Source organism: Homo sapiens, chromosome 1, assembly GCF_000001405.40.
Source record: "Homo sapiens chromosome 1, GRCh38.p14 Primary Assembly".
NCBI classification, from domain to species: Eukaryota; Metazoa; Chordata; class Mammalia; order Primates; family Hominidae; genus Homo; species Homo sapiens.
In genome coordinates, this window is record NC_000001.11 from 183,328,949 (window position 1) to 183,350,594 (window position 21,646).

General features: G+C 44.6%; 1 protein-coding gene across 1 annotated transcript in view, besides 1 other annotated feature; it reads right to left on the reverse strand.

Annotated features, from left to right (window-relative positions):
* The window catches only part of NMNAT2 (nicotinamide nucleotide adenylyltransferase 2), a 170,144-nt gene that overhangs the window by 80,712 nt on the left and 67,786 nt on the right, over window positions 1-21,646 (reverse strand). The gene's annotated exons all lie outside the window — the stretch shown is intronic.
* Window positions 2,111-2,676: an enhancer, noted in NCBI's record as "H3K4me1 hESC enhancer chr1:183300194-183300759 (GRCh37/hg19 assembly coordinates)". NCBI's record gives its function as "activates a minimal SCP1, AML or CMV promoter by ChIP-STARR-seq in primed H9 embryonic stem cells {active_cell/tissue: H9 hESC(primed)}" and the evidence as "EXISTENCE:reporter gene assay evidence [ECO:0000049][PMID:30033119]".

Here is a 21,646-nt window from a genome sequence, read left to right on the forward strand (position 1 = left end):
TGTCTGTTTTTGTGCTGTGCAGAGGTAGCAGAGGTAGCAGAGGTAGAGGAGCAGAGGTAGCAAGTCGGTAGAAATAGCAAACAATGTATCAGCTACAGAGAAAGAGGCAAAGATGAGAGACAGACATACTGCAAGGGTTCCCTACAGCTTTCCAAATCAGGGTTCCTAGCCTCCCTGAAGCCCATTTCTGCCTATGGGGGTTCATGATTTCTATCCCCCTACCAGCATAAACTAGAGTAACAATCATGTTGTTGTATTCCTTTAATTCAAACAAATATCCATTTTAATTGTGTGTGTGTGTATGTGTGTGTGAAGAAACACTAAATTGAAGATAAATATTATAAAATTTATTGCAGTTTCAGAAATGCTCAGCATGAAAGTCATATATCTTAGCATTGAGGAAATAGGATATTTTAAATTCCCTGATCTGGACTCTTAATTAGGTAAAATGGTCCATTTTAACCCATTAAAGTGTACATTCCTCCAAGTCATTCAGGAGAGGTTGGAAACTATCTGTTAAAACCTGTGTGGGAGGAGACCTACTTGGATAATCTTCGGCTGGATAAGAATAGCTTTTAGCAATTTCTTACTGAGCCTGCCATGGGGATGACCCTGCTAAGATCATTATTCAAGCCCTCACTGTTCCCCTCATGGAGGGCTGCAGCCAGAGCCACACTGAGCTGTCCTCCTTCCCAACAGATACTGCCCACCCATCACCTTTTTGCTGAACATATTCACTTTCCTTCCTGCTCCTACCTTTTCTTGATAACCCCCAAGGTGAGATCCAGGAGCCTGCAGAGATGGTTGGTTCCAAGCTTGACTGAGTGCTCTATGGGGGCATTGCAAGCATCCGGTGTTAGAGAGGTATAGAAGTCATCTAATCTACTCCCTCCTCTGAAAGCCATGGAATTGGGGCTCAGAAAACTTAAATGCATTGCATAGGGTCACCCAGCCAGATAGCGGCACAACCCAAACTAGAATTCATGTTTACTGACTTCCAGTTCTGTGCTCCACTCACTCTATCACAACTCCTCTTCCCCGCAAAACCGGGAGGCTGGATATCGAACGGGGAGACAAGGGGAGCCACCATGAGATGCAGCAAAACAGTGACTGAGCATATGGATCTGGAGCCAGAGTGTCCAGGTTCAAATCCCAGCTCTACCACTCCCCAGCTGCATGGACTCAGGCCAGCTACTTAGCGGCTTTATGCCTCAGTTGCCTCATCTGTAAAATGGAGATAAAAACAGTATCCATCACATAGGATTGTTATAAACATTATTTGAGTCAATGTGAGTACAGCATTTTGAACAGTGCCTGGCACACAGTACACTCTATTTGTGCATTTGGTAAATAAAATCAAGCAGTCTCTGAAGACCCAGGATTTGGTGAGACATCTAGAATTAGAGCTATCCTGAGACGTCAATTGAGCAGAGGCCCTCAACACCAGGCTCTGGGACTGTGTTACAAAAGCAGCCAGGCAGAGAGCAGAACAAAGGAGGGTGGGACAGGTGCTGGCTTTCAGCTTGGACTGCTTCACCATGGTCCCTACCTACACTCCCTCCCCAGGGAGCCTCCCTGTTCTTCCTCAACCATGCCTTCACTAGGTGAGAACATTGTTGGTGGCACTGGCGCCACAGCTGACTGGCCAGTTATCTCCCCATCCCAAAGCAAAACTTGGTGGGCTATGCACGCCTCAGAAAGTCTGGGTCAACCCGCTACAAATGTTAAGCACAGTGCTGGGGCACCCCTGAATTAATGAGGCATTTCTTAATGACCTAAAAATATATATTTCTTTTGTCAACCTGCATCTTTAATGGTTAATTCAAGCAGAATCAGCGAGGTGAATTCTATTCCAATTGGCAGCTCCTCCCCACTTTAATGTCCTTTCAGATATCTAGAGTAAAATGTGCAGAAAATAGTTTTCACCTCCTTCAGGGCTCAGAGCTCCCAGTCCCTGTGTAAATGATCCTAATGTTTCCTTCAGATCTCCATTCAACCTCTCAGACATGTTGAAGGAGCCTCCTCTGTTTCTTTTCTTTCCTTTCATTTCTTTTTTTCTCTCTCTCTCCCCTCCCTTTTTCCCACCCTTCCTTCCTTCCTTCCTCCTACTTTCTGGGGTTTATTCAAGATCCAGGCTGATTTTCAGCCTGCTACTCAGCTGGGAGCCCCTGCAAATGAAACCCCTCACTGCTCTCCCAGCAAAAGCACAGAGGCATGTGAAATCATGAGGGGCAGGTGGGGGTGGCCGTGGCGCACTGAGCACTGGAACTGGAAAGAGGGCAGACATCAATCAAGCTGCTGTCATAAAACATGCATGAAAAGCAGGGGTGGGGTCTGGGGGAGGGTTGCCAAAGCCTGTTTTTCAGCTCACAGCTGGGGACTTGAGGAGGAGACTGGCTGACGGGAGGCGAGGCGAGGCGTGAAGGAGAGAGGAGAAGGGAGCTGGAGGGTGCGGCACTGCATAGACAAGATGAAAGGCAGGTATCTAGAAGCTGAGTGCCAGAGGGAAGCAGAGGCAGATTTGGTCTCCAACAAGGGGCAGCCAAGGGAATCAGGAGCCTGGAATGTAAACACCTTTTCTTCCTACATGAAAAGCCACCAGTCTTTCTTTTTCCAACTCCCTGCCTTTCTGGGGGCTCCCTGCTCTCTCCTGTTGGGCCAGTGACCTGACATTCCAGCAGCTGCAGCCTCAGGCGTGAGCCTTCCAGACAGCCTGGCGCCTGCACGCTGCTGCTGCTGGTAATGCAGGACCTTCCCTCCCCAGGGGAACACAGCCCACCCCCACCACCCAGGCTACCCCATAGCCAGCCGCACGCCCCACGGTGCATAGTTTTTTATTTTCATTTATTTATTTTTTGAGACGGAGTCTCACTCTGTCACCCAGGCTGGAGTACAGTGGTGCAATCTGGGCTCACTACAACCTCTGCCTTCCCAGTTCAAGCGATTCTCCTGCCTCAGCCTCATAGCTGGGATTCTAGGTGCTCGCCACCACGCCCGGCTAATTTTTGTATTTTTGCAGAGACAGGGTTTCACCATGTTGGCCAGGCTGGCCTCGAACTCCTGACCTCACGTGATCCACACGCCTCAGCCTCCCAAAGTGCTGGGATTACAGGCATGAACCACCATGCCTGGCCTCCATGTTGCACACTTTTGTAGCCCTCCATATCAAACCTGTGTCCTCAGATGCAAGCTCTGCCAAAGCACTATGCATACCTCCCAGCCAGGAGGGCCAGCTTTCTGTTAGAGAACTGTTTATTTTTAACATAAACACAAAGCCAGTGGGCCTTTTCTAGAATTTTCTAGACTCAGCAGGGCCCAGAGTCTTAAAGTTAAGCCTGCTCCTTTGTGTGTTCTCTGATCTCACCAATGTGAGATTTTTTAATAGACAACTTTGTCTTACCTAACTGTCTTTTGGGGAAATGATAACCCTGGATGCGCCTCAGAATTAAATTATAAGAGGCAGAATGTGATATTAATCATTGTGAATACTCAGGTTAAAAAGCACTAAATGCTGAATAAATTAGAGTACTCAGTCACATAGACTGGAACCAAAGAGAGGGGGATAATGAGGGCAAACAGAATGGAGAAAAGGCTTAAAATGAGGTTTGAGATTTATAGGAACACATGGGTTGAAAGTGAGATGCAATCAGACAGTCACCAGCCAACCCTGCACATGGGGGCAGTGGAGGAGATTCCAAAAAGCCAAAAAGACGCTTGCCTGCCTTTCAGTCTGACTGGCAACATGCTAGCCAAGCCCAGGAGGGCCACCCCAATTCACTTTTAAACTACTCTGGACCAGAGGAAGTGGCACAGCTTCCTTGGATCTAGCAATTTCTCTAGGGATTCAGACTTACCAGGGGAAATTCTCAGCCTCGCCCAGGTCGGGGTGCACTGCCCTCTCACCCTCCCCTGCTGGTTTCTGGGCCTTCAAAAACTCTGCACATTTATCCTCATTTTGTTTGCAGTAGCAGCCATCAGCCTATTGGGAACCCCAGGGTGACAGCTCTCAGAGATGATGATCTTAGGATGGCCTTATGGCTGGACCAGGCCATGACTTTAGTGTTACCAGGTAATGACATCCACTCTGACACAAAGCTGGGATGAAGCTGACTCCCATTGGAAAACCCCATAGAGAAGGACTCCAAACAGCTTCACAAATCTCTTTTAGGGGAAGGAACAAAACCCAGGTGGAAGCCAATGCCCAGAGAACTCTCCAGGGGATACCTGGAGCTGGTAAAAGTGTGGTCACTCCAGCACTCAGAGGCATTTACTGAACATCTTCAGAGAGGTCCTTGGGCCAAAAGAAAACTCAGGCTGGAGTGGGATGAGAGGGTCATCTCTACTATGGTAGGCAGAATAACTGCCCCCATGAAGATATCCACATCCTAATCCCCAGAATCTGAGAGTATGTTATCTTACATGGCAGAAGGGACTTTACAGATGTGATTCAGTTAAGGATCTTCAAATGGGAAGATAATCCTGATTATTTAACTTAAGGATCCTTATAAGAGGGAGGCTGGATTGTCAGAGTCAGAGAAGGAGATGTGAGGAAAGAAGCAGAGGTCAGAGTAATGTGGGGCCATGAGCCAAGGAGCGCAAGCAGTCTCTGAAAGGTGGAAATGGGCAGGAAACAGATTCTCCCCTAGAGCCTCTAAAAGCAATGCAGCCCACCTAATTTGTTTTGGACTTCTGGCTTCCAGAACTGTAAGATAATACATTTGTATTGTTTTAAGCCACTAAATTTCTGGTAATTTGTAACAGCAATAATAGGAAACGAATACACTTTCTAAGCAGCTTGACTTGCACATAACTCAAGTCATTGCTGGATAAACCTGAAACATGGTGCTCCTTTTGGCTTTCTTCACAGATAATCTGCTGCTGGTGCTTCCCCCTCCTGACTTATAAATGCTGCCATTAGCTCTGTCATTTCCAGCTGTGTTCTTGTTCTCTTCAACTATCTCCGGGATCCACCAATGCTGTCTAATTGTCCCCAGTAAGTAAGAAAACTGAAAGGAGAAAATGATCTCATTGTTCCCAGTTAAGTAAGAAAGCCGAAAGGAGAAAGTGATAAAGACAAGTGCAGAGGCTTTGGGAAATGTGCACGATGCCTCTTCCTCACCGTCTCATTTTTTTTGAGACGGTGTCTTGCTCTGTCACTTAGGCTGGAATGCAGTGGCACGATCTCGGCTCACTGAAACCACCGTCTCTTTCGGGCTCAAGCAATTCTCCTGCCTCACTCTTCCGAGTAGCTGGGATTACAGGAGCACAACACCATGCCCGACTAACTGCTGTATTTTTAGTAGACACAGGGTTTCACCATATTGGCCAGGCTGGTCTCAGACTCCTGACCTCAGGAGATCCATCCGCCTCAGCCTTCCAAAGCGCTGGGATTACAGGCGTGAGCCACCATACCCGGCCCTGTTGAATTTCAATAGACTCCTTGCTTTCTATGACAGCCTCCTCAGACTGAAAGCCCAGATTCAACTAAGTTTATTTCAACACACTCAAGAGTCTGTGTCGCCACAGGGCCGGTGGAAGCAGGTGAGTTAGGTACAAGGCCACCCATTCTTTTTTTTTTTCTTTTGAGACAGAATCTTGCTCTGTCTCCCAGGCTGGAGTACAGTGGCATCATCTCAGTGCAACCTCCGCCTCCCAGGTTCAAGCGATTCTCCTGCCTCAGCCTCCTGAGTAGTTGGGATTACAGGCACCCACCACCAAGCCCAGCTAATTTTTGTATTTTTAGTGGAGATGGGGTTTCACCATGTTGGCCAGGCTGGTCTCGAACTCCTGACCTCAAGTGATCCGCCCATCTCAGCCTCCCAAAGTGCTGGGATTACAGGCATGAGCCACCGCACCTGGCCCAAGGCCACCCATTCTTCAGGTCGTGACCCAAACTGCCAGGACAGCTAAGCCCTGGGGTTGGGAGACTCCACGGTGCCCTAGTAAGGAAGCTCTGGGCTGACTTCCTGTCTGTTCTGGGTCAGGAAAAAGTTACATGATATTGTCCTAAGTGGAGAGAGTTAAGGAACTGGAGCACAACTTGGAATTAGATTAACATAAAAATCTGATTCAGCCAGGTCTCTCAGCTCCTCACTACATCAATTAATAACAATTGTCAAGTATAACCTACCAGGTACCTTACAGGTATCTCCTCATTTAATCCACTGAACTGTTGCATTATTCCCGTTTTACTGGGCTTCTGTGAAAAGTCACCGAACAATCACAACCAAAATAACAATTCCCCAAACAACTAGTTTCCTTCTTCTTGTTAGATCCCGTCTCTGTTAACAGCAACACCATCTACTCAGATGTCCAAATTAAAAAGTTCTGGTAGAAACAACATGGTCTCTTTCTACTCTATACCTCTGCACAAATCCGGCCCTATGTCTTGAAAAATCTATACCTCCAGCTGTGGATGCAAATAGGAAGGAAATAGCCCTTCACTCATTAGTGTAAAATGTGAATGAACCACCAACATGGCCACCACCTGAGTCTCCTCTGCACCCCTCTGTGGCAAGGTGATGTGAGGAAGCTCTTTTTCTGATTATGGATGCTTTTGCAACAGCCAAGCTTGAAGATGTTTCTGCTGTAGTCATCTTCAGTTCCAGCTTGGCTATGTTTCCTTGGGATAGACATGGGAGAAATGTCTATATAATGCCTTCCTAAAGCTTGGGAAAAATAGAACTTCCCTGGTGTCCCAGGATGGGGTTAGTTGATCATGCCTTTGTGCTGCCACATTGCGCATACTCCTTTTTGCAGTTATCCCTGTGTACTTCATTCATTTTATTTCATTATTTTTACTATATGTTTTGCCAACTAGATTATAGGGTCTCAGAAGTCAGGATCATGTCTAATATATCTTCTGATCCCAAGTCTAACCAGTGCTTGACACATTACAGGCACCCATCAATGTTTGTTGGATAAATAATCTGTGAATACAATAGGCTGGCCTATCTTTGGGCACAGGATGATCTCAGGAGATACGGAGGTTTACAAGGAGAGTAGGAGGGAGAGACCTTCACAACAAGGGTATCTGAACTCTGTGAAACTCATTTCTGTGAGAAACTAAAAGAGTCTGAAATTCTTCCCTAAATGTGTGTGATTTCTTCTCATACCAACTTTATTCCCTGGCAACAGGCTGTAATGTTTTCCTAAATCAGCCCAGTGAACTTAGGCTTGTTGGGTTTTAACCAACAGTAGCACTGTAGTGTTACTAGAGTAGTGCCACAATCAAATCTAAGCCTAATAGACTAGGATGAAAGTCATTTAATAACAAAAAGACAAACAAGGCAATTAAAAGAAAATGTATGAAAACTTGAACGGACATTTCACAAAAGAAGATATATATAAGTGGCCAATAACCACATGACAAAGTACTCAGTGTCATTAGAAATCAAATAAATGCAAAAGAAAATTACAATGAGATACCACCTCATACCAGTTTGAAAAACCAATATGTGTTAAAACCTTTTTATTTTGAAAATAATTGTAGCTTCACAGGAAGTTGCAAAGAGAGTATAGAGAGAATACTCTTCACCCAATTTCCCCCACTGGTTATATATCATATCACTTCATATGGATTTGAAAACCTACAATTAAAAAGACTGACATTACCAAATATTGTTGGTGATAGGGAGGAACTGGAATTCTCATACGTTGCTGGTAGGATTGTCAAATGGCAACCACTTTGGAAAACCATGCAGTAGTTCTTTACAAAGTTAAACAAACACCAGATGATTCAGCAATTCTATTCCTAAATACTTACCTAAAAGAAATGAAAACCTGTGACCACAAAAATACTTACACAAGAATGTTTCTAGCAGTTGTGTTTACAATAGCTACAAACCAGAAACAACCCAAATGTTCATCAATAGGAAATTGGAGAAATAAACTGTGGTAGATTCAAACAATGGAATACTTCATAGCAACACAAAAGGATACAATCTACTACTTGCAAGAACACAGATAAGTCTGTTGGGAGTAGAAAGCCAAATACAAAACAATGTATACTGTTTAATTTCATTAAACTAAAGGTCAAGAATGCAAAACTAATCTATAGTGACAAAAATCAGAATAGCTGCCTACAGGGAATAAGGACTGCCTGGAAGGGAGCAGGGGAAATCTTTCTGGGGTGATTAGAATGGTCTGTATCTTGATTGGAGAGTTGGTTACACAGGTGTATTTGTCAAAATTCAGTGACTTGAACATTTAAGATCTGTGCTTGCCACTCTATGTAAATATTTTCCTTAATTTTTAAAAATGAAAATAATGGGAAAAAAGATTTCTACAATAAGAGAGAAAGAATGACATAGTGAAGGGATAAAAATATGAAAAAAATTAGGAAGAGAGAAAATCCTGCTGTTTACTACCTGTCAGTAGTAGTATATTTTTAAAATCATGACTATGTTTTACTTTGATGAAAATACAACAACAAATTTATCTCTTTAAACTTCAAAATCCTCACATCACTATTTGATATATTATTTAGTGTTATCATTATCACACAGGTTCTATAAAGAAAAAACCCAAGACATAAAGAGGTTGAGTCATTTACTAAGAAATAAGACCTTGAATCTAGGTTTGCCTACTACCAATAATCTTAACCACCTCCTCTCCACAGCAAAAAAAAAAAAAAAAAAAATACCATACATTTGAGAAGCATCTGTAATTGAGAGTTGCCATCAGTTTGTGGGCTTTTATAATTATTCCTTCAAGAGTAATGCACCAAGGATTCAGCCGAAGCTTCTCTCTGCTGGCAACAATCGTTTCCTGCTCCATTTTTAAATGTTTAATCACTTAGATACCTTTTGCCATCAATACTTTCCATCCATTTGCACTTTTATTGCCATTTTCCAAGGGTCTAAATGCCTCGTAGATGATTCTAGATGTCACAAACCTGGCTTCTTTGTAGAGAGAGGCCTGTGCTGTGCTTAGATGTTTAATGCAAAAGTAGTGGAAATGCTGGGATGTGCATACACTTGTCAGACTGTTTCTTTATTTGCTAGTGAAATCTAAGGAATAAACTGGTTGTTCTCTTATTATTGATTTCAAATAGATCCCCTCTCTAAAGAAAGGTTATGCCATGAACTATAACAATGGAAATGTTGCCAGGCACACTGACCTGCATCTGTAGTCCTAGCTACAGGAGGATCACTGGAGCCCAGACCAGCCCAGGCAACATAGTGAGACCCCCATCTCTTTAAAAAAAAAAAAAAAAAAAGCAAATGCTACAGGATACAGATAGAAAAGTGGGAATAGATCTGACAGATCATTAACCGTGAGGCAGATATCATAACTCTGAGTTCTTCAGATGAATCAGGGTGCATCTGAAAACTGCAAGACACTAGATTCTACTTGAAAGCTAGAAAGAAATTCTGAGATCATTTATTCCAAATACCCTCACTTTGCACATGAAAAAATTAGGTGTGGGGTTGAGGAGAAATGACAACAGTGTAGAAATAGCATAGGAGTTTCTATTTAAAAACCTTAGCTTTATGTTCTGGTTTTCACTTACTAGAGGTACAATCTTGAAGTGCTTAACCTCATGTTCTTTTCTGTAAGATGGAAATAAGAACCTGTTCTGATGACTCACACGGTCTTATGATAATCAAATGAAATAAGGTTTGAGAAACTGTTTTGTCGACTTTACATTAATGCGTATTATTACTGTTGCCCAAGTTGGTAAATGGAAAAGCTAAAACTGGAACTCAGGTCTCCTGAGTGCACTCTATCAGTTTGAAAAACTACTCCTAGGCTACTCAGCTGACCTCAGAGGGCAATTTATTATTAAACCCGGGACATAGGAAGTAGCACTGGCTTCAGGAGGCTACAGAGGAGGAGCAGGATCTGACCACTACAATGAGACAGTGCTGGCTTGGGGAAGAGAAAGAAGCAACTAGAAACTGTCCTGTGTCAGGTAATGTGGCCAGGCAACTTTTGGAGACTCTCCCACTCTGTCTCGGGCTATGAGTTGGCATGAAACAGGGTGGGAAGGGCAGGACTGAAAGGGCATCAGAGCCAAGTGCCTCTATTTAGTAAGGCTGATTTCACAGGGTCCTGCCAGGCGACCCTGCCCAAGGGCTCCCTTAGGGACAAACATCCCATCATGGGTAGGCACAACAGCTCCAGTTCCTGAGATCACAGTTTTGTTTTATTTTTATTTTTTTTGAGATGGAGTCTCGCTCTGTCGCCCAGGCTGGAGTGCAGTGGTACGATCTCGGCTCACTGCAAGCTCTGCCTCCCGGGTTCATGTCATTCTTCTGCCTCAGCCTCCCAAGTAGCTGGGACTACAGGTGCCTGCCACCACGCCTGGCTAATTTTTTGTATTTTTAGTAGAGACGGGGTTTCACTGTGTTAGCCAGGATGGTCTCAATCTCCTGACCTCATGATCTGCGCGCCTCAGCCTCCCAAAGTGCTGGGATTACAGGCAAGAGCCATGGCGCCTGGCTGAGATCACATTTTTAAGTCCTCAGGGATGGGTACCCAGAGTCAGTGCCTGGATACCACTGCTTGAGTCCTTTGCAGCATTATTGTAGAGAGTTTCAACAGCATCGGAAGCCCAGTCCAGAGGAGCAGTACTGGGTTCAAATCCCAGAGCTGAAGGTCCTTGGACAAGAGATTTACCTTGTCTGAGCTCCAGTGTCCTCGTTTAAAGTTGGCATAAAGGGTTATTGTGACAAAGATGATCACAAGGGTCAATATTAATTGAACACTTACAATGTGCTAGGCACTGTTCTCAGCATTGACGTGGCTTATCTCATTTAGTTGTTACACAATGCATTTTTGATAACTGCCCTGCCACCCAGGGAGGTACCATCTGTACTCCAAAATGAAGCTCCTTTTGAGAGAGCCTTTTTATCTCTGCCTTCTGAGTGGCCCAATGAGAGGTCCTGAAGGAGCTATGTCTGCCTCAGGTGGGTGTTGGAAGCATTCATGAATGCCTGGAACCACAGGCATGTACTGAGCAGCCAGGCCATTGCTATCACTAACAATCAAGATCCTGAAAACAAGAACACATAAAAGGGGAATGTCGGTTGCCGTAGGCCCTTGGCAGATCAGCAGAGTCACTTAGGCCAATCACAATGATTACAAGGAGCAGAGAGCCTGGTCCAGTCACCTTCTTTAAGGTCAATTGCCAATCAGCCTTGCAAGGGCCTCAGGCTAGAGAATCAGACTTTCTGGCTCTCCCCTTCTGGGGTGCTGCCTCCCTGCTGGGGGCTAAAGCTCTGAAGAGCAGACATCTGTACTGGCAAGCACAGCCTCTCTCAACTGGCTTCCAGGGAAGACATCCTCAAATAGATACAGCTGGTTAGTACCCAGGTGGCAAAGTGGCTGATAGCCATTTGGATCCTGGCACTGTTTCCCTGGGTTAGCTTTTTTTTTTTTTTTTTTTGAGATGGATTGTTGCTCTGCCACCCAGGCTAGAGTGCAGTGGCGCAATCTTGGCTCACTGCAATCTACACCTCCTGGGTTCAAGCAATTCTCCTGCCTCAGCCTCCCTAAGTAGCTGGGATTACAGACATGTGCCACCACACCTGGCTAATTTTTGTATTTTTAGTGGAGACAGGGTTTCACCATGTTGGCCAGGCTGGTTTTGAACTCCTGACCTCGGGTGATCCGCCTGCCTCAGCCTCCCAAAGTGCTGGGATTACAGGCATGAGCCACCGTGCCTGGCCTCTGGGTTAGCTTCTTCCGATGGACAGCAGACTGGGAAGCTTTGCAAAAACTTGCTTGATTTAGATGTAAGCATATCTGCCTGGGTGCTGAGAGGTACTTGTCCTCCCAGGCCTACCAAGCTGGGCTGACGAAACATAATCCAAAGATGACCTGCTGGATTGCTGGTTTAATTACAGCATCCCCAGGTGCCCTGATGGCAGGAGAGCAAAAGGATTGTGACCTAAAAGCCCCACCTAACAACCTGGATTTATACGAAGGGTGGGGTAGTGATTATTAGACTAATATGCTTTACATGTGGGAAGGCTGTAGCTCACAAAGGCTCCACATGCATTATTTCATTAGATCCTGATGATGAGCTGTGAGAGGAGGCAACACCCGTCCTTGGTTTACTGAAGAGGAAACTGAAGTTCTGACAGCCTGGGCGACTTGCCCAAGGTCATGCAGTGGATGGGCGGCTGGGCTAGAACTTGAACCCAGGTCGGCTAAGCCCACCTAAGAGTAATAGCCAGGTTGGCTAAGATTCCTTGGCACTTTCATCTGCGGCAGTTTGCTCAGGTTGGTAGATTGAGCGCTGCGAGTCAAGAAGGCATCTGTGTGGCTCACTGTGAGACTCTGGGACCATCAGGTCTTTATTATGCACCTACCCATTAGTTGCTCCCATTCTGAAATGGCAACCACAATGCTATAAACAATATAAGTGAGGCATTTTGGGACAACTGGCCACACATAATAGACACCCAATAAATGTTGGTTGTTGTTAAATATGAGAAAGGCCAAGCATGGTGACTCACGTCTGTAATCCCAGTGCTATGGGAGGCCAAGGCAGGTGGATCGCTTGAGCTCAGGAGTTTGAGACCAGCCTGGGAAACATAGCAAAACCCTGTCTCTACAAAAAATGCAAAAAAAAAAAAAAAAAAAAAATTAGCCAGGCATGGTGGCAGGCACCTGTAGTTCCAGCTACCCGGGAAGCTGAGGTGGGAGGATTGCTTGAGCCTGGGAGGAGATTGCAGTGAGCCATGATCATGCTACTGCACCCAGCCTGGTCAATAGAGAAAAAAAAAAAGAGAGAGAGAGAGAGGAAAAGACAAACAAACAAACACCAAAAAAAAAAAAAAAAAAAAAACCTGTTTCCTTCACTCCAGGTTACTTTCTGATCATGTGTTTATGATTACTTTAATTTCCATCAAAGAATGCTCAGAGGAAAAAAGTCCTTTCAGGAGCACACAGGAAAGTATATCAAAGTAGTTATACTACCTGATGGAATCTGTGCTCCATTCTTTCCGATGATTTGCCCTCAAAGACATTTACCTAAGGTGGAATCCCACCTATGAATTGAGGGGGAAGTTTCCTCCCAGACCAATTACATCCATGTGGTTGTCTTTATCTTCCTTCCTCACCTTTTTTTTTTTTTTTTTTTACCAACCCTTTGGCATTGGGGAACCCCTGCCCACTGCCCCTGCTGAGGCCCAAACATGCAAAGCAGTGTCTCTGAGTGAGAAACCTTCCACACTGCAAAAAAGTCTCCATAGTGCTGGCTGCTACCTTCTCAGGCTTGCACTTTAGATCTCCTAAAGAGAACTACAGGCCAGGCAAAGTGGCTCATGCCTGTAATCCCAGCACTTTTGGGAGGCTGAGATGGGAGGATTGCTTGAGACCAGGGATTCAAGACCAGCCTAGGCAACATAGCAAAACCCTTGTCTCAAAACAAAATTTTTCCAAAAAATAACAAATTAATAAACAATAAAGAGAGCTACCTAAAGCCTCTCTGAAAGACTGGAGGATGCTTAGACCCATAGTGAGACTATCACAGTTCACATCCTTCTTTTATGTGTTAACTCCACAAAAGGGGTAGAGATTAAGACTTTTCTAAGAAGGAACTAGATGATTCCTCTTCCCTGTTAGGTTCTCCAGGATTTTGTCCTCCACTCTCCACTTACTCTGCACACACTTCCTCTTCTCCATATATGACTTCAACTGCCACCTCTATGTTGGCAATCCCAATCTTCATCCCCAGACAGTTCTCTCTCTTGGTCTTCAGAACTGCAATTCAAATGGTCTCTTGACATAGCCTGTTGGATACTCTAAAGTCATCTCAAACTCATTTTTAATTTAATTTAATTTTTTTTTGAGACAGGGTCTTGCTCTGTCATCCAGGCTGGAGTGCAGTGGGGCAATCACAGCTCACTGCAGTCTTGACCTCCTGGGCTCAAGTGATTTCCCCACCTCAGCCTCCCAAGTAGCTGAGACTACAGACATGTTCCATCATGACTGGCTAATTATTATTATTATTATTATTATTATTATTTTTGTAGAGATGGGGTCTTGCTTTGTTACCCAGGCTGGCCTCAAACAATCCTCCCACCTCAACCTCCCAAAGTGCTGGGATTACAAGTGTAAGCCATTACACCATCCAGCCTCAAACTCATTTTAACCAAAGTGCAATGCAAGATGTTTTGTCTTCATGTCTGCACCTCATTCTCCTTCCCATGTCAGCAGATGTCACCCCTGGGCCTTTGAGGCCAACCATCTTGGACTCTTCCTCTCTTACCCCCACATCCAAGCAATCACCAAGCCGTGTACTGGTGATTCTTCTTTCTGAATTTCTCAAATAGATATCCCTCTTCTCCTTCCCCACTACTACTCACATTCATACACTCTAGTTCATTAATTCTCCTTCATTTGGTGATTCACTCATTCAACAAATATCTATTGAACAACCACAATGTTCTCCTCATGCAGGCCTTAGTTTATCTGTCATATGCTCAGAGTGACTTTTCCTGACCATCCCATCTCCAGTTGCTTCTCTATCCCAGTCATTACATTATACTACTTGATTAAATTTTTCCACAACTTTTAAGTTCTATGTTTGTTTTCTTGTTTACTGTAAGTCTGTCTCACTAGAATGCAATTTCTATGCTATCAAAAATGTTGTCTTTTTCAGTATTTGGAACACCAAGAGCTTCATAGATGCTCTGTAAAAATTACTTGAATGAATGGAGATTATACTTTGAGATAAGGCACTAGCACTTGCTACCTCTCTCTCCTAGATTTTTGAAAAAGTCTCTTTATTTGTCTACTGGCCCCCTCCAATCTATCCTTCAAATTTTTTAAAAAAGTGATTTATTTTCCCTAATTCACAAGTCTGATCTTGTCACTACTCCTTTTAAATATTCCAGTGACTCCACAACTTACGGTACAAAAGCTGAGCTCCTTGGCATTGAATAAAAGGCCCTTCAGGATGGGGCCTCACCTCCCTATCCAGCCTCTTATCCTGCTGGCCCCTAACTCCACCCCCAGCCAACATCCCTACTTTCTTTAAACTGAGTCGCACTGGGCTATTTGTAATTCTCCAAATGAGTCACAAAATGTCCTCTCTCAGGGTCTTTGCCCATAATATTCTCTGTCTAAAATGCCTCTCCCTCATTGCTTACCTAGCAATTTCTACTCATCCCTCAAGCCTTGGGTTAAATGCTGAGAAGCTTTCCTAAATCCTGAGGCAGGTAAACATCATTTTCATCATCATTATACTCATCATTATCATTAGTTACCATCTATTGACAAATTATTATGTGTTAGCACTGTGCTGAATGCGATTAATTCTCACAACCGCACAATGAAGCAAGCATAATCATCTGCATTATAGATGAGGAAACCGAGGTTCGCAGGGGTGAAGTAGCCTGTCCCAGGAGGTACAGTATAACAGGGATTCGATTCCAGGGCTGACCCATTCCAAAGAGGCTGCCTTCAACCACCACGTGGCACTGCTTCCCGCTGTTCTACCGGCCTTTGTATATACCCCATGATAGCACATGCCTGATATCCATATAATTGTTTGATGGCACATCTGTCTCCTCACAACACTGTCAGGTGTTTGAGAGCACAAATTTGCCTTTTCATCTTTATATTCTCAACACTCTACTTAGAGCTGGCACTTAGTAGGTGCTTTATAAATAATAAATGAGTGGATTAATGCAGGCCTTCTCAGCCTCGGCACTACTGACATTTTGGAACAGATAATTCTTTGTTGTGGGGGCCGTCCTGGGCATTGTAAGATGTTTAGTAGCATAAACATAAATAAAGTCTGGAAACACTTCCAGAGAAGGCAGAACAGAATATTTAGAGGCCCCACGAAGTACGAGGCATTTAAAACCATACCTCATTTAAACGCTATTTTACAAATGTGAGACCAGAAGCTGAGAAAGGTAGAGCATCTTTTCCACTACCACATAGTTAGTGATGATGTAGCTTAGATTGAGCACAAACCAGTCTCCCCGGCAGGGCTTCCTCCCCATCCGGGGGCCAATTCCCCAGCTGCTCTGTGTCTGTCCTTCACTAGTTCAGAGCCACAGCGGGGAGAAGGATTGTAAAAAGTTGTCATCTCCAATCCCAACTGCTCTTCCAAGGACCCCATCTCCTCATTCCACCTGTTGTAAATCTCCCTCTGGACATCATATTGTAAACTAAAATGACACCGCTAATATACAATCTTCTCTTCTCCTCCCCCACCCCACCTTGTCTCCCCCTAGCTGACTTGCTTCTACTAACATCACCTACTTCTTCAAGTTATTAAGCCTTGAAGTCATCTTTGACTCTTTTCATCCACTACCTTCTCCCCCACTGTGGTTGAATATTTGACCCCTCCAAAATTATGTTGAAATTCAATCCCCATGGTAAATTATATATGTATATTTTACCTCAGTAAAAATAAGAAATTATTACCCAAAAAAAGGAAACTTAATCCCTAATGTGGCAGTATTGAGAGGTGAAGCCTTTAAGAGGTGCTTAGGTCATGAGGGCTCTGCTCTCATGAATGGATTAATCCATTCCTGGATTAGGGGATTAGTGAATTGGTGAATTAATGGGTTATGATGGGAGTAGAACTGGTGGCTTTATAAGAAGGGGAAGAGAGACCTGAGAGACCTCATTGGCCCTCCCACCATGTAATACCCTGTGCTATCTTGGGACTCTTCACAGAGGCCCCCCAGCAGGAAGGCCCTTGTCAGATGCGGCCCCTCGACCTGGGACTTCTCAGCTTTCATAACTACAAGAAATAATATCCTTTTCTTTTTTTTTTTTTTTTGAGACGGAGTCTCACACTGTTGCCCAGGCTGGAGCGCAGTGGCGCGATCTCGGCTCACTGCAAGCTCCGCCTCCCGGGTTCACGCCATTCTCCTGCCTCAGCCTCCCGAGTAGCTGGGACTACAGGCACCCGCCACCATGCCCGGCTAATTTTTTGTATTTTTAGTAGAGACAGGGTCTCACCGTGTTCGCCAGGATGGTCTCGATCTCCTGACCTCGTGATCTGCCTGCCTCGGCCTCCCAAAGTGCTGGGATTACAGTCGTGAGCCATTGAGCCAGGCTAACATCCTTTTCTTTATAAATTACCCAGTTTCAGGTACTGTGTTATAAGCAGCAGGAAATGAACGAATATATCCCCCCACATCTAATAATTTGTCACCCCTCACATCTGTCCCCTGATTCCCAGCTCCAATTCTACTGCTGCTGGGTTCTCCTCGCCTTTCAGCTGGACTGTTTATTAGTAGTCCATCTCTGTGATGGCCTCCAGGGTTCTTTCTCTCAGTTCCATCATTCCCACTGCTACCAGACTGAGCACCCCTGATCTCACCTTCAGGGTCAACACAAATCAGTCCAAACTCCGAATTTACCTTTACTTGCCTTTCCTCCACCCTTCCAGCCTCTTGCTCTTCGATTTCCCAGCCATAACCAACATGTTGTCATCCCCAGTGACCCACAACCTCCGTATCTCTGCTCTTACTGCCCTCTGCCTTGTTAATTAACATTTATAAATGGCCACTGGTTGGGACTGAGCTTCTGCACGAGGCACAACAGACCATACCAAAATGGAGCCCCTCGTGCTGAAGTTCCACATCACCAAGACAAAACTAAGCTGTTGATCTGACCTTCCAAGAAATCAGGAGACAGAGATAATTGCCGAGTCCCCAAACAGGGCGGTTTTAGCAGGCATGATAAGGAAGTCTCCTCTGCTTTAACCTTTACAGGGAAGTAACTTTGAAACGACCAACCTTCTTTTTGTTTTCTGTTTCTGCTGTCCTCAGCCCTTTTTTGTCTGTGAAACCAATTTCCTCTGCTCAGCTCATCGGAACACTCATTCTGTTTCACAGAACGAGGTGTTGCCTGATTCTAGAATCACAAATAAATGCCAATTGAGATCTTTAAATTAAATTTGTGTAATTTTGACTTTTGACAGCCTGAACAGCCCTACACCCCATTTTTACCCCATTATAGTCATTTCTCACCCCTTTTCTTTCTATGACAAAGCAAAAAAAAGAGCAAACACATAGAAACCCACCCTACTCTTCAAGACCCACTCAGATTCCACCTCCTCCATGAAGCCTTCCTTGACCTTCTGGGTGGGAACTCACTTTTCCTCCCTATAAACAGCTATTGCATTTCCTTTGTATCTTCTCTGACACTTAGTCACTTTCTTCTGTGAGTATTCCATCACTACTATAGAGAACAAACTCCTGGCTCATAATCTGTGAAAGGGGATAATGATAGTACCTCCCAGCTGGGCACTGCGGTTCACGCCTGTAATCCCAGCATTTTGGAGGCCGAGGCTAGAGGATTGCTTGAGGCCAGGAGTTTGAGACCAGCCTGGGCAATATAGTGAGATGCCATCTCTACAAAAAAAATAGAAACATTAGCTGGGCATGGTGGTGCATGCCTGTAGTCCCAGCTACTCAAGAGGGTGAGAGAGGAGAATCACTTGAGCCCAGGAGGTCGTGGCTGCAGTAAGTCATGATCGTACCACCGCACTCCAGTCTGGGTGACAGAGCAAGACCCTATCTCTCTAAAAATGATGATGATAATAATAATAATAGTACCTCCCTCATGGGACTGTTGAGAGGATTAAGTTAGATTAAGTACATTATTATATGGAAAAAGCTTGGGAAAGTGCCGGACACACAGTAAGCACTCTAAAAGTGTTTGCTGTTATTAGTACAATACTACCCTTGTGTTTTTAAAGCCCTCAGCACTGGACATAGGAATTATTTAAAAACACCTCTGAGTCTATAAGTGACTGCAGGAGCACTGTTTTTTTGAAATGCAGTAACAGCTGTGCAGCATATAGCAGGGGCTCCCATTCAGTCCCAGATCTTTGAATGGAAACTGTTTTTTCTTGAGTGCTACCACTCTCCTGGTGTTAGATGGCCCCTAGTCATCACACTTTTAGACCAGTTGACTTCAGCCCTTTTTATTCATGCCAACACTCTGAGTGAGCACATGTCCTCCTTAGAAACTCAGTTCCCTTCAATGACTACTTGCGCTGGGAGGGTTGAACAAATGGGGACATGTCCACTAAAAGGTAACCCCAAGGAGATTCCTGATATACCTCCCCCATTCCCATACCACTCCCCCAACCCCTCCCATTCATTTAGAAAGATCTGTCTTTGACTGCCTTCCTTTAAAAGACAGGACCTATATATAAAATGCCCTGCTCTTTTATTTTCTCAACATGGGTGATACGTTGAGATATGTGATACTCTCCTTTTCAATTTGACATGAATTTTAGTTAAAACAGTCAACCCAGCAAAGGCATCTTTTAGAGGTTTTTTTTTTCTGGTCCCTTGAATAAGCAACATGGCTTGTTTGCTCTTAAGCTGTGCGTGCGTGCACGTGTCCACAAGCATGAGTATGTAAGTGCACACACAGACCATACTGGGAATAGAAGTAATTTATTCTGGGAATGCTGAGTGAGTTGCTATTAAATCATTTCTATCTCCCTCACCATCAAAACCCATCCATTGAGCTCCCCTGTATATAAGGAACTGCACCAAGCAAAATCTAATCCAATATTAGATTCACCAAAATATTTATGTTCTTTGTTCCTAAGACCCTTTTCTCAGTCAAAAAATCAGAGAAGGAGATTGGGGGTGTGGGGGAATGATGGAGAAAATGTAAACATTTTTGCATAATACATCAGACCAGCCTTGCAGCCCAGTGTTTGGAGATTTGCTGGAACAAAAGTTCTTTCCTGATACTTGCACAATAAGGGGCATTTCAAGTAGGATCCCTTTGCTTTAATGAAACAAAAACAAAAACTTCTTTCCTTCACTCCATCCTGCCACACATTCCAGATGGAAGGAAGGTATTCTGCTTTCGGAGATCTTGTGTTTTGGCGAGATCTGAGTTCCCTATTTCAGTCTTGATGCTTTCATTAGCCAGTGAACATAACTTCCCTGAAATGACATCCCCACCAGAAGATCAGAATACAAATCCTTGGAAGTCAAGGTAGTGTCTCCTCACATTGCTTAGGAGAGATATGGCACCAGGTTAAGTCTTTGTCAGGAGAAAAGGACACCAAAGTGAACACAGCATGGACTCGGTGCACCAGGTTGACCCAGGCATGTCCACTGCAGAGTGTTACCTGCAAAACTCTGGCCCAGGTGGCTTCTGATCCCAAAGCACCCAGCTCACCTGCTCTCTGATCTACACTGTCCTAGGCACTGGTTTCTGGTATTCAGAAATAGCCCTGGTGAAACCTGTCATATGGATTATGTTTCTCCCAAAGGACAGAGCTCTGCTGGTTTGAGATCCTGAATCATCAATTTAATAACACCATTCTGCATGATGGAATGGAAAGCAGGCTTGGAAATATTTGTTGCCAAGTTTAGCTGCCTCCGCTCTTTCAGGCAGCCTGGGAAGAGCTGTCCACATTCACAGCCAACATCTCAAAGCCTTTGCCTGCTCACAAAAGGACCAGTCATCCTTAAATGGTCATAGACAGAAGAGGCAGGACAACTCACAGGCAGCTCGATGCTGAAGGCAAAGGAAGAGGGAGAAATGAAAAGACTTTAAAAGCGTTCTCTTTCCAGCCCCCGCTGAGAATTTTAAATGCCTTTGCCTCTGGCATATTTGAAGTCTGCATTTTACAGTCTGTTTAACTTACCCAGCAAGCCTTTGGGGCAGGCAAGAGCTGCGTCTTTGCATGTTTGTGTCTAGTGCTGAGTGTGCTGTTGGCACTCAGAGCAGCAGAAAATAATATGGCTAAAATCCACGGCAGCAGTGGGTGGCCTGGGCCCAGAAGGTAAAAGCCAAAGGAGAGATTTCCTATCTGCGTGGTGTAAGGAGGGCAGGAGATTTCCAGAGCTCTGAACCAATGCTGGGGAAGGAAGGGAACATCAAATATTGATTTTCTCCTGGAAATGGATCTTGGCCTTGCAGACTGGGAGTCTGGGAGGGGGAAGTAGGAAGCCCACCCCTCTGAGAAGGAAAGCTCAGGAGCCATCCCGATGTTGACTTTGCTAGAAGATGCATCTCTCAGGCCGAAATCAGGATTCCCTTGCTTGGACTGGCAGAATATAGTCTGAGGCTCCAGAGTTAGGCTCTGTCCTGGACTTGCTGTGTAACCTTGCCCTACCAGGCCACTATCCCACACATTCATACATTGAAACCCTGCTGTGCACCAGACATTGTGCAAACACTGAGCATATGAAGATATACAAGATACACACAATCCCTGCCCTCATGGAGCTCATCTTCCAAGGGGATCACTGTAGAGGGTGGTAAGTGCTGTGAATAAATGAATGGGGAGAGGTGATGGTGAAGGTCTTCTTTTTTCCTTCCTCCACACACCAAGTAAGAGCCATGAGCCAGGGTGTGCAGGAGAACAAGGGAGTCTCTGTTCCCAATCACCAGCTGAGATGGGGAACTGTCCTGGTCAACCCCTGTTAATTTGGGAGGAAAATTTGAGAGAAATCCATTCAAAGATACCCTGCAGCTGATAAAGGGAGAAGGAAAAAGGGGGAAAGAAAACAGAAAGAAAGAAGGGGCCCTCCTTCAGAAAGTGAAAAATCTTATTACCATAATTTTACCATTCAAAGACTGTAAGTTATCTTCAGTAAGGAATATGCATGTCTGACTTTCAAAGGCCAATGCTTCTCTATCAAAATTCACTTCTGTTATTAGGCTTGATCACAGTTCAGCT